Source organism: Homo sapiens, chromosome 6 (genome assembly GCF_000001405.40).
Source record: "Homo sapiens chromosome 6, GRCh38.p14 Primary Assembly".
In the NCBI taxonomy this organism is placed as follows: Eukaryota; Metazoa; Chordata; class Mammalia; order Primates; family Hominidae; genus Homo; species Homo sapiens.
Genome location: NC_000006.12, coordinates 53,614,822 through 53,631,678, shown reverse-complemented (window position 1 = coordinate 53,631,678; position 16,857 = coordinate 53,614,822). Strand labels below are relative to the sequence as shown.

Genomic DNA, 16,857 nt, shown 5'->3' with positions numbered 1-16,857 from the left:
ATATACAGCTCTTAGAAGTGTGCCTGACTAGAATAAGCATCTTATATGTTAGCCATTATTTGATCAAGGTCTCAGCCAGTGATTGTAGTTTCTTAGTGCTACACGGTGTTCAGAGAGATTCTAGAACCTAGCATCTTCCTCTAAAAGCATGATTTATCTTTGGTTGCTGAAATGTTAGTTTTGTCTAGGATCTCTTTTGAGTATTTCTTAATTCCTGTTTTTAAGTAGAGAAGAAAGTCTTTGGAAATGTGATTTTAAGTAGAATGAGAAGGCAAGAATACCTGTAGTATTTGTTTGTATTTTATTTTTAAGCCACGGAAACAATTTTGTCAATAAATAGGTGATCCTTAAACCTTCAAAAGCTTCGTCTAAAACAGAAGCATTGTTTTCATTTTCTTAATAGATGTCTTTTACCATTTTGCATGCAGCCAAAAATATATTTCCCCAATACTAGCACAGAAAGAACTGCTAAAAGTGAGAGACATCCTGTTTATTCAGGGTTACTGCAGTCCCTTGGGGCGAGGACCATCTATTTTCATGTACTGCTAAACTGTCCAAGATTATGATGTGCTGGGTGTTTTTTGCTCATTTCTCATGCTTCATCTCTCTCTCTTGCTGATTTCTTGCCTTTTGAGCTCTTCAGCCAGCTGGCTGTGGTGGACAGGGCTGTAGGAAGGAGTGTAATAGAAATCAGGAAGTGAAGATGCTGATTCCCACACAACCGCCAGACTGGGAACGAGGCTGTCTTAAAGATCATTTGGGCAAAACACACGCTATACTGTCCCTGACATTATCTGTCAAGTGTCCGATCCAGAAGTAGCAAAGTGGGATGGATAATAATTAGTGGGACTATAGGGACCATAATGATAGCTTGGTGGCCACTGGGAAATTTCAGTCAGTGAGCATGGCTCCTGATATGAGATAATGTGTGATCTTTAGACTCAGGTCTCTTTTAGAATAGCTGAAGCTGGCATTGGGCCCATATATGCCTCCAGGTAAAGGACATCCCAGAGACATTTTGTCCAATACAAAGCCTGGAAGATTCCTCATATCTTGTACTAGATTTATTGTTGCCCTTGTTATATATCATAAATATCCATCTTCCGCATTAGATTCTGAGCTCCTTCAGGGTTAAAGTCATATAATTTTCATGTATAGTTCCCCAATGCCCAGCAAGCAATTTATTAATCAATCAACCAATTTTATGAAAAACAAAAAACAAAACAAACAAACAAACAAACAAACCACTGTACTTCATACCTGAATTAGACCAAACAGTTGAAACACTAATGGGACATTAGGACTCCTCCAGGGGGAATTAAAAATGGTATCTCCCTTTCCTCTGTCCCATTCTCTTGAGTCATTTGCGAATGAGCTGGGAATGTTAGTCCCCCTCTTGTCTTAAAATGGAAAGGTTCTGGATGTAGGGCCCTGGAATAGTAATTAGAACTAACTTTCCCCATCCACCCACCCACTACGTGACACAAACTGCCTTCAAACCTGGCTGGAGAGATTCACCCAAATGCTTATTGTCATCTATTGCATCATCTTCTAGGAAAGAAGAAAATTGCTTCCATATCTCCATGGCCCTAAATGGTCTTTATCTAATCTGACCAAAGTCATCTCTTGGCCTTTTGATGCCAACAGCATTGGCCATCCTTGCTGCACCCAGGGTCACCCTGACCAAACACTCTGGAAGTGTGCGTGATTCATCAGGTCCCACCTTATGGAAGTTACAACAGTAGTATGGGTAGGACAATAGGACAGAGTTACAGCAATAGCAGTGGCCAACCTGCATTGCAGAGAACCAAAACTGCAAGTTCTATTTCCATTCTCCATCCAAACAAATACTGTATTTTTTTAAAAAAAATAAATAAATCCAGATATGCCTTCCAGTTCCTTGACCTTAATCTCTCACTCTGGATCTGTTTAGATTCTATGCCCTTCATGTAGCTATTTACGACCCACTGGTTTACTATCTCGGTCTGATGTTCTAGACTCTGACATCTGGTCAAATATTTCATCAAATATTTGATACATGAATGAAGAGGAGACTTTAAGACTTTCAAAAGGATAAGAACCAGAGGCTAGGCATGGTGGCTCATACCTGTAATCCCGGCACTTTGGGAGGCCAAAGCAAGTGGATCACTTGAGGCCAGGAGTTCGAGACCAGCCTGGGCAACATGGTGAAACCTCACCATTATTAAAAATACAAAAATTAGCTGGGCACAATGGCAGGTGCCGGTAATCTCAGCTACTCAGGAGGCTGAGGCACGAGGATCACTTAAACTTAAGAGGCAGAGGCAGAGTCTGCAGTGAGCTGAGATTGCACCACTGCATTCCAGCCTGGGCAACAGAGCAAGAACCTGTCTCAAAAAAAAAGGATAAGAACCAGAGCAGCAAACTCAACCCTGATACATTGCCATGTATCTCAGAAATATCTACCTGGATGTTAAAAGGGTAAATAGAAAGAGTTCACGCTCCATATTCCCCTGGTTAAATTGAGACATTATAAGACGGATGTGGGAAATAGAAGAGAACGAATTATGAGGTGTGCTGGCCCAAAGCCACATGCCTTGTGGGGAAACAAATTCTTTGACCACCCTCAACAACAGTGACTCCCAACCTCCTTGGAATTTTGGCACCCTATCATTATGTACTTGATGATCCAGTCTTGATTTGACAACCTCCACTCCCGCACTTGGCATGAAAAAAGTTATGCAGCATAGATTTATTTCATTTTTTCCTAATGAATGTGAATGAACATGACTTTTATTGCAAGCATTTTATAGCCTTTCTTGAAACAACTTGCATCATCCTGGCTAAATGGAACACAATTTTTCAAAAAAATAAACTTGAGCAGTCGTGTAGCTAACACAACACTACAGTTAGTAAGACAGCATGACAGCAACAGCCCCAAGGAAATAGACAGCAATCCTGGTTTCAGTGAGGGAGACAATGTGAGAGAGGGAGAGCTCCCAGTATACCTGAATATGTTTTCTGCAAATAGATTCCCGAACATGTCCTCACATCCTTCCAGTAAGTTTTCCAGTAAGCCTTCCAGTGAGCATTCACTTGAGCCAGTTTCAGTTTGTTTTCCATCCCTGCAAACAAATGATCCTGGTCTAGATCATGCTGAATTGGCACTCAGAAAAAGATAAACAGAGACCAGTAAAAAGCCTTGGCAGACCCATAATCTACCTTCTCTCATCAGCCCCTCAGAGCACAATACCTTGCTGGAAGTGGAGGAGTGAGACAGAGGTTACTTCGGTGTCTGGGATCATGTATGTGCCGCCTGGTTTTCCTATAACCAGCTCTGACACTTCTGCCTAACAGAGCCATCTACCCATATCTGAAATCCCTAATTCTAAAGTAAAGATAACATTTTTCTTGGCTTCTTTGGCTGATATCTTTGGATAGAGCAAAGGAAAAAGAGAGCAACAACACGGAGAGGAAAGATGAAACAAAACATGGAGAACTGTGTAAATGTATCCCCACCAAAACAAGCACACTTCATTCTACAGAGCACACAAAGAAAAGATCCTGGAGTTAGAAAAAGACTCTGTTACAGCGGAGTAAATACTTGCTGGGCTTTTCAACAAAAATTTCTTTGCCCTACAGACAGGTCTGGCTGCCTAATTTCTGCTATTAAACAAGCTCCAACTTGATCTGGACTTCATGAGGAAATGTGAAATTTGAACCTTTTTATTTCCCCAGCTTTTTTCCGTGCTCCCACTTTATTTTGGTTACTGCCTTGACTTCCACCCCCAGGTGCTATAACTGCTTTATTTCCTCCTGCCCATAGCCTGTTCAACACATGGCGGTTGCTGGTCCATTTTCTCGAAGCACTGCTTTCTGCCATATAACCGTGGGTGGCACCAGTTTATACAGGCAGTGGCAGTGTAGGCAGGAGGCGTTGGTTTCAACAGGGTGACAGCACACAGCTAAGCAGCCAGTGCCTTCTCTGGGCCTCAATTTCCTCATGTATGAAATAGATATTTCCTCACTACTAGGGTTGTTGAGGGGATCAAATGAGAGAGCAAATGCAAAGCTCCTGGCTCAGGGGCAAGCACACAGCAGTACCCGCTAGGAGGATGCTGGCCTTCCCTCTGGAGGTGACAAAGTACCTGCTCCTGAGAGTTCAAGTAACTGGGTCCAAAAGTGCATGGAATTTGAGACAGGTTTATAAAACAGTGGGTAGAGGATGAAGGACTCATGCTCAGGAAGAACTTCTCTGCCCTCACATCCCACTATCCCAGTACATGAACAGAATGTGCTTTTAGAACCCCATCATGGGCTCAGAGGGAAACCTCTGAGAAGATTCAGGAAGCCATTCAGCCAGAAAGGCTGAAGGAAGGCAAACAGCAGAACTCAGCACTTTCAGCATAATGGTCAAAACAGAACTCTGCAGATAAACCTTAATTGTAAAACAAAATTGGTGAAAGAAAAATGGGTGAATTAATGGGGATTCTAATTTAATAAAGTTAGAATTAACTACTGTCAAGTTAAAAGGAAGTTTAAAGTCAGTCTTATTATAAATGATTAGTCCACTCAGTCCTCTGCGGGAACCAAAATTCTCCTTAACATGTTAGGGAAATTAAATTTGTTATTTAGAACCTGTGATAAATCTCTTACACTCTTTGTTGGAAAAAACTTTAAATGCATCATTTATTGAAATTAATCTTCTTTCATTAAATAACCTTTGATTCCAAGAAATAGCAAACCTTTTAACTTTTAACCTACAAGTGAAACAGCCAAATCCAGATAGTAAATTTGAGTTAATTTAGCTGATGATATGGCTGGAAATTTTATTCTCAGAGATATCTTAGAAGATACAAATCTATTATTGTTAATGTGAGAAGAGCAATGTATATGCATATTATTATGTCAATCTTATTTGGTTGTAGTTTTAAAATTTAGCTAGTTATTCTCACAGAATTTTTCATAAAGAATTAAGAAGCCTCCTAGGTTTTATTTAAAAACTTAATAACATAACTTAATAACATAAGCTACATAGAGGTGAAAAAGATAAATGAAAAACAAAAATAAGTAGCTAAACTACAACTAGGAATTAATCCAATAAAAAAAATTTTTAATATACAAAGCTATTTTGCGACCTTGGTAACACCTTTTTAACCAGGTAAGGAAAAAATAGTTTGACTTTTTATAAATATATAATATTTAACTTTTTGCTCTTTCCAGTTTAAACTTTGCCTGTTTGAAGGACATTCCAAAAATATTTCAGTACACTTCTTAAAAACCTTCTAATGCGTCTTCTTAGAATGTCATATGTTATTGCCAAATTAAATTACTGTTTTACTACCTGACAGCTTGAAAACAAGGACTATCATGTTATTAGAAAATCTTGCAAGAAAATAAATCTCAGCAATAATGTGAACTCATGGAAGTGACAGAATTTTTTAGAGACAGATATATAGATACATCTATATCAAATTTATATTTTTTTAGAGATGGAATCTTGCTATGTTGCCCAGGCTGGAGTGCAGTGGCTATTCACAGGTACAATCTAGGCGTATTACAGCCTTGAACTCCTGGCCTCAAGTGATCCTCCTGCCATAGCCTCCCAAGTAGCTGGGACTACAGACATGCCCTACTGTGCCCAGCTTTATCTATATTTTTTAAAGTGGAAAATTTCTGCTGGAATTTCTTGCAAGTTCCTGTTTACATGCCTCTAAGACTTCAAATATACCCTACCCTCCAACTTAATATACTATTCTTTTATTTAAATGATTTTCCCAGTACAGTTTTAGTTTTATTGGCTGTGTGGTTTTGGTCCCAACAAAAGCAGTTACCTTGTAAATTTCAGAAACATATATCTACTAGGTAAATTCGGCACTCACAATCTTAGATTTTCTAACCAAGTCCTGCTTTCAAATATTCAGTGTCATATTCTGTCCAACTGAATCATCAAAGTATCCCAGAAATTCCAGCATTTTGGCAAAAAACAGCACATTCTAATAAAATATATGTTAACTCAAATATACCTTCAAGACACAGACGGTGATGAATCACAAGCTGAAAAATACTTTAGTTAGAAGTAGACCTAGTATAACATTTTTTGAACCCGACATTGTACTAATTGATAAAATGATTTTTTTCCTCTAGTCTGTATAAAACTCTTGGTAAGATTTCCAGTATGTCAGCTAAAAATGTCAATGTCAACAATATTTGCCTTGGTATCCCCAACATAAGACAAAACAGTTGTTCAATGAATAGTGTTTTGAGTGCTTCTTTGTTGACTATGTACTGAACACTGTTAAGCACTAAGAACATAGTTATTAACAATCCCCATAGAGCTTTCAGCTTTTTTCATTTTTGTATCTAATTAGGGAAAATTTCCAACATCTACAAAAGTGGACAGAATGGTATCATAAAGTCTCACATACTAGTGCCCAGTTTTAATAATTGTCAACTCATCACCAATCACAACTCCACTCCATATTAATTTGAAAGCAAATCCCAGACATCCTAACATTTCATCTATAAATATCCAATATTTGATCATGGGTTTAGAGATAAGCCTATCAGTATTATGCCACCTAAAAACCCCAATAATTTCTAAATGTTATAAAATATTCAGTCAGTATTTAAATATCCCTGATTGTCTCATAAACTTTTTGAACAGTTTTTTTGTTTGTTTTGTTTTGTTTTGTTTTTTGCTCAGCTCCACACTTTGCAGTTGGTTGACATCTCTTAAGTTTCATTTAATCTATAGTTCCCCATCTGCCTTAGTTTGAGTTCCTCCAGAAATACATCTAAGACAGGATTCAAGTATAGGTAGTCAATTTGGAAAGTGCAGTGTACACCATAAAGGAGACAGCATGTGATACAAGAAAAAGCAACCCAAACCCATAGAGGTTGAGCTGTTAAGCAATTTACCAGTGGGTGACTGAAGCTTAATCCTTCGGGGAAGTTCTTGAAAAAGGGATAAACATACACCCACCTCAGAATTATGTCCCTGGGAGTTGAAGGAGCTTGGGTATGTAATCATCCACTTTATTTAATCATTGGTTAAGGGTTGCTTCTGGGGTTGTTAATTGCTTGGCACTTCTGGCGTTCTGCAGTTCAGGAGAAAAAAAAAAAAAAGCTCTTAGGCACCAAAAGGCAGCTACTGACAGTTGGGAGCAAGGCTGAGCACAGTGAAGGGCACAGAGGATATGGGTGGGCACCAAGAGCATCTGCCACTTCCTCCCCCTAGTCCCTCCTTGCCATGTATATGGTGAAGAAACTAGGTCAGTTTGCCCTGCAGAATTTCCAGAATTGTGGATTTTGCTAATTGCATCCATGTGGTGTCTATTGTTCATATGTTTGCTGTCTTCTGCATTACCTGTGCCCTCACTCCCTAATAGGTAATTTGATCACTTATAATTGGAATTTTTTGCAAGAAGACACCATTGGTGATAGTGACAGGACTTTTGTTAGCAGGCGCCCAGTTGTTTCTCTTAGTGTGATGTTAGACATTTAGCCTAAATCCACTATTTCATTCGAATGTGCAAATACTCGAATTCTCATTCCTTAATCATGTATTAGCAAGAATACTTCATAATAGAGAAACTTCCTTTGTCAACTATTTGGTTACTCTGTGGTACAGTTAGTACAGGAAAGGTAGGATTCACATTTGATCCTTTCCTTGTATTTACCAGTTCTCAAAATAATGAGCTCATTTCCCAGAACCCTCTATAGGTGACCAAGAGTTCTTTTATGAATGCATGGATTTAAACAAAGCTGCCATGTCTCAATCCCTGATTCAAATTGTCTCTTTTTTGGCCACTGAAGTTTGGCCAGATATTCAAATTGGATTCTGAGTCCTTTCTGACACGACTTTAGTGGTCAATGAAATGTTCTTGCTTTGTGGTGTGACAATGTGTTCCAAGACTGCTGTGGTTTCAATGTGTTCTCACAAAATTCATGTGTTGAAATTTAATCTCTATTGTGGTGATGTTGGGAGTTAAGACTTTTGGGGAAGTGATTCAGCCACGAGACATGGATTAGTACCTTGCAAAAAGGCTACAGGGAACTAGCTTAGGCCCTTTTTCCCCTTCTGACTTCTGCAATGTGAGGACACAGCATCCATCCTCTTCAGAGAATGCAGCAGAAAGGCGCCATCTTCGAAGCAAACGCTGGGTCCTTTCTAGACACTGAACTTGCTGGTGCCTTATTCTTGAACTTTTAGCCTCCAGAATTGTGAGAAATAAAGTTGTGATTTTTATAAATTGCCCAGTCTCAGGTACTTTGTTATAACAGCACAAAAGAACCAAGATAAAGGCCTTCTTGAATTTTTTGCTCCCCAGTCTTCAAATTAGCTGACTTTCCAAGAATATGGATTCCTTTTAGTGAAAAATTGTATTAGAAACTACAGTCTGGGTGTTATGGGAACTCATTGCTGCTGAGCTGGTCACTGTTTCTAGGCCTTTTTAGCAGGCAGAGTTAGGAAATAAGTTGTTATTTTGTTTTGTTAAGAGAAAACATATCATGAGCTCATACTGATGTTTTCAATTCAAGTTTAGGATTATAGGGTTTGCGCTTCTTCGCTTTTATATTTTTTTCTCATACTTACAACTTAGTTCTTAACAATATAAGTACTTATTTGCCATATCCTGTAATATATACCATAGTTTCAGAATAGCAGTGCCAGTATTATTATAAACAGCATGATAATTGAAAGTGGCATAAAGTGTATTTGCATTTTTTTTTATTCTTAGGGTATATCCCACTAGGTTTGTATGTTAAATCTCTGTTGTTTTTTTAAAGTTACTTAATATAGTTCCTCTCTGTGTAGTTAAGCAACTAGTTCAATACAGTAATTTTTATTTTCCTTTCAGTTTTTAGAAATTTTTTGTTAATTTGATTTGATAATTATGTAAAATCTTTGCACCATTCCAAAGTCAAACTTACAAAACAAGGTATAATCAGGAAGTTTTGTTTTTAATCCATGTTTTCTCTACTCCGTTCCCATATAGGTAAACAATTTTTAATTTTTGTTCAGTTTTGTTTGTTTTGTTATACCCTTGTTTTGTTGTTTTTGTTGTTTTGAGACAGGGTCTTGCTCTGTCACCCAGGCTGGAGTGTAGTGGCATGATCCCAGCTCACTGCAGCCATGACCTCCTGGGCTCAAGTGATTCTCCCACCTCAGCCTCCCAAATAGCTAGGACCACAGGTGCATGCCACCATGCCCAGCTAACTTTTTTTTTTTTTTTTTTTTTGTAGAGACAATGTCTCACTCTGTTGCTTAGCCTAGTCTCAAACTCCTGGGCTTAAATGATCCTCCACCTCCATCTCCCAAAGTGCTGGGATTTCAGGCATAAGCCACCACTCCTGGACTGTTGTGATTTTTAATATATGTATATTCATATTCTTGTTACCTGTTTTGGATAAATGGTAGCACATTGTATATTTACCTCCATTTTTGCTTTTTTCATATAACAATGCATTCTGCAGAGTATATAAAAATAGAAACATATTTGGAGACTCCTCATTTATAGTTGCACAGTTCTCCATTGATAGGTATGTTCTACCAACAAACATTTGGGTTATTTCCACCATTTTGTTGTTATAAAGTGTTGTTATGAATATTGTCTTATAGATTACATATAAACTTTAAAGTTTCAAAAACAAATACTCTGACTTCATTTTAGAAATTGTTAGATAACTCATGGATTGAAGACTTTGTTTAAACTTTTCTTAGTGTATGTTAGTTTTGATCATATGAATGTGGCTTCTACATGTTCTCATTTTTATTACATAGTAAAATTTTCTCTGTGTCCCAGTGGTATGATCAGCTACTGCAAATGATCCATGGTTGCATGAAAAGGTATATTCTCCACTTTTAAAATACAAAATTCAAGATCTGCCTACTCATTCAATCTTGTTTTACTTTTTAGTCTTTCCCAAATCTTGAGAAAAATATTTTAATGTCTTTTATAACAATTATATTTCTGTCAATTTTCCATTTAAAGATTGTAATACTATAGAAGCTCATGAATTTTACATCTATTTTATGGATTACATCTTTTATCAATATAAAATGATTCTTTTTTCTGTCAAATTATTTTTGTTTTGAGAGACACTAACATTATTTACCTTTACTAATATTATTACCTTTGTCTCTTTCTTTCTTTCCTTCTTCCTTCTTTCTGCCTCAACCCCAGCCCTGGCCATTATAATGTTTACCTTTATTAACCTTCACAGCAGAAGAACAGCTATCCACTTTTTTGGTTGGTAAAGGTCTTGTGTTCCCGGATCACGGAGTAGGCATAAACCTCTCTCAACTTCCAGCAAGATTTTTCATGTCAGGGACACAGCTTTTGACGGTTCCTGACAGGGATTTTTAGTCAAGCTCCATAAGATTTTCACTTAGCAATGCTTCCTCCCAGATTCTGACTGCCACTCAAACTTCATTTCCAGTGTCATGGTTATGTGGATTCATCACTTTTCAGTGTCTTCATGACTCTGTATAAAATTAGGAAAAGTTGCAATGGAGTACATTTCCATTTTAAACTGAAAGCCAACTTATCATGTTTTTGACATTCTCTGCTATTTGGTAATATGGTTTTAAAATTAACTTTGTATCACAAAACTGTATTTTAAAGAGAACTTACTAGCTGAGTGTAACACACAAAAGGAGATGATAAAATCTCCTTGTATTAGAGATGATAAAATTTACTTACAGATTTTTATTCTGTGAATGTGAATATTTCATACCTAATAAAAACACATGATTTTGTCTTTTCACTTCTGGGCACATTGAGAAGCAATATTGTTAGGTTAAGAACTTTGGATGAATTGGAGGTGTCAACAATGATAATTCAATTTCAATGAAGATTTGCAATGAAATTTGGGGAAAAAAATTCGTTATTGAGCAAACTGAGTTCTTCAAACAATACTAGTGGATCAATATACTGCTGACTTTAAAATTCAAGTCTTTTATTAACCAATAAAGGTAGTTTATTACATTTTTATTTCTTGTCATATATTTTAGTCTTCTTTAAAAAGTCTGTTTATTAATGTGCTTTAACTTATAATCTTTGAAAGACTTTTATCTTTAAAAAATTTAAAGAGATTCCTCAGACAAAATGTCCCAGTTTGCCACTCGGAAAATGTTAGCATCATTCTTTAAGACTATATGTGAAAACTCAACTATCTTGCAAATGGAAAAATTGAGTCTCCAAGTCACAAGAGTATTTTTTTTACTTTTTATTTTGAAATAATTTCAAATTTATAGAAAAGTTACAAAAATAGTAGATAGAAGCCTGTATACCCTTTACCCAGATTCATCAAATGTTAGTATTTTGCCCCATTCACTTTCTCAATCTCCTTTCATTGGCACAAGAAACTGAGGCACAGAGAAGTTAAGTAACTTTGCCAAAATCATACTACTAGAGTATGGCAAACCTGAACTTCAACCTGTCTGGCACGAGAGGCTTCCATCAGTTCCTTCTCCGCTCAAGTAAACTTCATCAACTCTTACAGGCATTCAGTCTGGTAAGTGAGTACCTGGTCTTTATGATAAGTTGTCACATGGTTATGATATTATGAAATATGTATTTGGGCTTGCTCCTGTTTCTTGACATACAGCTTCTAAAACCCTTGGGAATCTCCAAAGTGATGAGTGTCTTTGATATGCTGTGGAGATTACTGATGCCTAGGGACCCCTAAGTAGCTTCCGTATGGGGGCTGGTCACCAGAAAGACCAAGGCATGATTAGACGGTTGGGACTTAAAGTCCCACCAATCAACCTTCACCTCCAGGGAAGAAACAGGGGCTGACCAATGGCTCATGACTTAATCAATCATGCCTACATGATGAAGCCTTCATAAAAACTCAAAATGACCAGGTTCAGGAGCTTCTGGATAGCTGAACGTGTGGAAAGTCCTGGAGGGTGGCACATGCAGAGAGGGCATGGAAGCTCCATGCCCCTTCCCACATGCCTTGCCTATGCATCTCTTCCTCCTGGCTGTTCATCTGTATCTTTTTTAGTATCCTTTATAATAAACCAGTAAACAAAAATAGGTGTTCCTCTGAGTTGTGTAAGTCATCCTAGCAAATTAATTGAACCCAAGGAGACAGTAGTGGGAATCTTGACTTATAGCTGATCAGCAGAAGCAGAGGTGACAACCTGTAACTCGTGATCGGCCTCTGAAGTGGGGGCAGTCCTGTGGGGTAGAACCCTTATTCTGTGGGATCTGATGCTATCTCCAGATAGATAGTGTCAGAATTGAATTAAATTATAGTACACATAGCTGATATCTGCTAGGGAATTTATTGGTTGCTGGTGGGGAGAAATCCCTATATATTTTGGAGACTAGAGGTGAAATGCTCTGTGTTGGCTGTGTAAAAAATGGTTAGGTTTGGTTTTTCCTTAGTGAGTTTTTCCTTCTAACTTACTGGTATAGGTAACAAAACCCATAAGAAAATGTCCTCCTCTAACTTTGTAAGCCCCACATTCTACATCTGAACCAGGTAGGAAAAGGAGACCCAGAGGAGCAATAAGTTAGCAACAGACAACAGTGCCCTGAAAGCAGGAAATGGCAGTGTCTGGACAAATTGTCACGGTCATATTAAGCAAGTTAAGTATTTACTCAGCTGGCAGGAGTATTACATTTTTAATTGTTACCCACTTTAACCAATATTTAGCTAGTGTCCTCTGCATATGGAGGACCATATTAAGCATTTTGGAAAAAACCCAAATGCAAGAAAGGATCTCGGGGAGCAATATACACTCATGAAAAAAATAACCTTAAGCATATTCACCAAGAAGTATACATGTGTTGATAAATTAGTATTATACCAAAAAATTAAAAACCCCCACTGTTCACACAAACCCTGAGAAGCCATTACAGTAGGGAAAGTTTAAGAAGCTATGCTTCTCCTTGATGGTGTAAGGTTTTAAATGGGTTTAGAAAACTAAGGGGCTATGTGGAGTTAAGAGTGCCATGAATGGGGTAAAGATGCAGAGTGGGAGGAAACAAACGTATGTGGACTTAGAAGGGAGGAAATTCATAGGCTCACCTTGGAAGGCTGAAGGAGGCTGACACCATGTTGGATGATCAAAAATCAGCATTAACTCATTCACCAGATGGGTTGGAATAATGCAGATGAACTCAGGGTCACAGGTGTCAGGATGGGGAGACTGTCTCAAAGCAGGGGAGGCTTTAGGCTTGGGAGTTTTGTTTTACTTTTTGACAATGTTAACGCAACTAAGTAACTATGAAAGAGAAGTATGAAAACAGCCCACTGGCTCAAGGTCAGAAGGAAAGCGTGGGAGGCTTTAGAGAAAGTGATGTGTTCACAGGTGGTGAAGCTGAAGTCAGGTGGCAGCAAGTTCAGGTGGAAGTGGATGATGAGGAAATGGAGGTGGAAAGGTAGATTTCCCCCCACTCTATACATTTTTTTCATGGATAGATGTAGAAAATGAAATTATAATTAGACACTGAAGTGAGGTCAAGGAAGGAGTATTTTTTAAGTAAGGAGACAACACTACAGACTGGCCACAAATTCCCTGAGACTGTGTCTAACCAGAGCTGTAGATATTAATATAAAATCAGCTCTCGGCTGGGTACAGTGGCTCTTGCTTATAATTCTAACATTTTGGGAGGCTGAGGTGGGCAGATTGCTTGAGCCCAGAAGCTCTAGACCAGCCTTGGCAACATAGTGAAACCTCATCTCTACAAAAAATACAAAAAATAGCTGGGTGTGGTGGCAGGTGCCTGTAGTCCCGGCTACTCAGGAGGCTTCGGTGGGAGGATCACCTGAGCCCAGGAGGTCGAGGCTGCAGTGAGCCATGATCATGCCACTGCACTCCAACCTGGGTGGCAGAATGTCTCAAAACAAACAAACAAACAAACAAACAAAAAATCAACTTTTAAGGAGTGCTTCTATGACTTCTGTCATTAGGAAAATGTTCAGAAGTAATAGGAAGTATGAGAAACATGAACATTTGTGCAGAAAAGGAGGAATCATAGAAATAAAACTTCAGACTGTTGTGCAAACGGGCACATTGCATATGCTTAAAGTTAAAAGGGAGGAACCAGGGGAATGTGATCAGATTAAAATAGCAAAGCAATTAAAAATTTTACATACAAAGCTTAAAGGCAAACTTAAGAGATTGTAGTAACCACAGCAGGCATAATCAGCACTCAGTAGGTGTTTACTCTGTGTAGGATGATGTTACTGTAGAAGCAAAGGCCCTACTGACAGATCCAAAGCACAGGTGGAGACAGTGACTTTTTCATCACAGCTCAGAGTTTTGATAAAGAATAGAGATGGATTTATTTACTAACTCAATAAAACACTGCTAAACACTAGGGGTACAGAGATGAATTTAATATGGCTCCTCCCCTCAAGGAGCTCCTGATCCAATAGAACAAGCAGACACTAGAGTCCAATGAGACACTAGCTACCAAGAGCAAGGGCAAGAAACATTAGATGTAGGGCTCCACCCTGATATAGTTTGGATCTGTGTTCCTGTCCAAATTTTGTGTTGAATTGTAATATCCGGTGTTGGAGGTGGAGCCTGGTGGGAGGTGATTGGATCATGCGGGCAGATTTCTCATGAATGGTTTAGCAGCATCCCCTTTGTCCTGCCCTTGGAACAATGAGTTATCTGTCAGATCTGGTAGTTAAAGAGTGTGTGGCACCTCCCCCTCGCTCTCTTCCTCCTGCTACTGCCATGTGAGATACCTGCCCCTACTTTGCCTTCTTCCATGATTGGAAGCTTCCTGAGGCCACCCCAGAGTCAGAAGCCGCTATGCTTCCTGGACAGCTTGCAGAACCGTGAGTCAATTAAACCTTTTTTCTCTATAAATTACCCAGTATCAGGTATTTCTTGATAGCAATGTGAGAGTGGACTAATACTCACCCAGTAGACTTCCCGGAGCCTCCCGTCTTCTAGCCCTCTTTTATCAGGAGAGGATGCTGGATCCATCCTGCTGCTCTTTGGCATTCTGGGCACTGTGCTGCTGTGAAGATGCCTTTAACACCTCCCCACCCTAGTGAGATCATCATCATTGATTGCTGCAGTTGCATCCCTGCTGTCACCACCACTTCCACCACAGGTGACCAATCTTGCCAGATGGACCTTGCTGTTATTACCAACAACTTTGACGGGTCTATACCTCACCAATGTTGGAGCTCTCTTATTGGTGTCCACAGTGGTTGTCTGGCTCCTAAAGATTTTTTGTGTGTGTGTAATTCTCTCTCTAAAGCAACTTGAAATACCTCTACTGTGTTCAACTTTGAATGAGTTTTGTAATCACCTAGTAGATGGGATTAAGAAACATACAAACACATATTCTCACTCTTTACTCATTAACCTGAGTTTCACTGTTCTGATCCCTGAGCAACAATCCCCAACTCCTCCATGTCAAATCCAGTCCAGAGTTCTCAAGGCAGCCAGGCAGACTTGGCTTTCCCCAGGGACCCCAGGCCTATGTGCTTTGCTATTTTATTATGTAAGAAGGAAAAGCACCTAAAATGTGAGCGTTAGTGAATGAAAGGTGATTGTGTGACGATACCTCCAAACTTACACCAGCAAAAGAGAGGAAATAAAAGTTAAGTTCTCCACATGTCCTTTTTACTAGAGAATCCCAAATCACTGTGACTCAGCACCTGTACTTTGTGGTCATTTGTACCTGATACTAATTCTATTGTGACTCAGACGTTGCTCCAAACAAGTTTCCTTGTCACATCTCGCCACTGTTGTTAGGAAAACACGTTCAATGCAGGGGAACGTATTTGTTATGCTAGAAGCAAAGAGGGAGAGAGCGAGTGCACAGCAGAAGCAGGTAGTCATCCAGTAGAGATCAAAGTTCCCTTGCAAAGGGAATTTGTCATTGGTGCACACTCCCTTATTTAAGCTTTTGCTGATTCATCGTGCACTCATCAAAGCTGCACTGAGCTAATATTTAGAAATTCATTTGCTATAGAAGCAAACTCCAACATCAAATCCTTAAGTATGTGACTTGATCTATTCATACCTGGGTGTATACTAGTCCTGAGTTTAGGCACATATACCCACCTACACACAGCAGTGCTGAAAAAGCGTGACTGTAAAAAACTGGGGTGATAACTGGACAATGAAGTGAGGTCAATGAAGGGTTATTTTATATAGGAAATAACCCACAGATTGGCCACAAATCTCCTCTGCATTGACATTCATATGTATACATACACATTCTCACATGAAAACTCTTTTAAAAAAACTTTAAATTAGGGAAATTGTTGAAATTTGAACTAAGATGATAGTGAACAAGAAGCCCACAGAATATTAATAATTATCTTAATTTTCTTTCTTATTATTCAAAGTATATGCTCTAAAACTGTACTGAGGTACATCAAGTGCACAAATAGTAGTATGGAGTTGATGTTTTTTTTCCATATACATGTACCTATGTTACCACCATCTAATTCAAGATAGAGGATATCTCTGATCTCTTAGCTGGAGAAGACCGCCTCATGCCACTTTCCAGTAAATATCTCCCCATAGAGTTAATAGTATTCTGACCTCAATCACCGTAATTCATTTTGTCTGTTCTTGAAATGTATATAATTTAAATCATACAGTAAGATACATATATTTAATTTTTAAAAATACATTTAAAATGTACAAAAGCCATGCCTCACTCCTGGCTCTGATCCTCAGCCACCTGTTTTCTCTACCCAAAGGCAACCAATGATACTACCTTTCTTTTTTTTTTTTTAGATGGGGTTTCTCCCTGTTGCCCAGGCTGGAGTGCAGCGGTGCAATCATAGCTCACTGCAGCCTCACACTCCTGGGCTCAAGCCATCCTATTGCCTCAGCCTCCTGAGTAGCAGGGACTGCAGGTACACACTACCACA

The 16,857-nt window shown here is 38.7% G+C and overlaps 1 long non-coding RNA gene across 1 annotated transcript, besides 1 other annotated feature; it reads right to left on the bottom strand.

Annotated features, from left to right (window-relative positions):
• Positions 1-284: 284 nt before the first annotated feature.
• LINC01564 (long intergenic non-protein coding RNA 1564) lies at positions 285-3,299 on the bottom strand. Its single transcript, NR_125841.1, has 3 exons — positions 3,233-3,299; positions 2,988-3,104; positions 285-666 (listed from the first exon to the last, which is right to left on the bottom strand). It is a non-coding gene; the product is annotated as a long intergenic non-protein coding RNA 1564 (long non-coding RNA).
• Positions 15,069-16,268: an enhancer, noted in NCBI's record as "P300/CBP strongly-dependent group 1 enhancer chr6:53480209-53481408 (GRCh37/hg19 assembly coordinates)". NCBI's record gives its function as "activates an origin of replication core promoter dependent on BRD2, BRD4, P300/CBP, MED14 and CDK7 cofactors, with strong dependence on P300/CBP, by STARR-seq in HCT116 cells {active_cell/tissue: HCT116}" and the evidence as "EXISTENCE:reporter gene assay evidence [ECO:0000049][PMID:35650434]".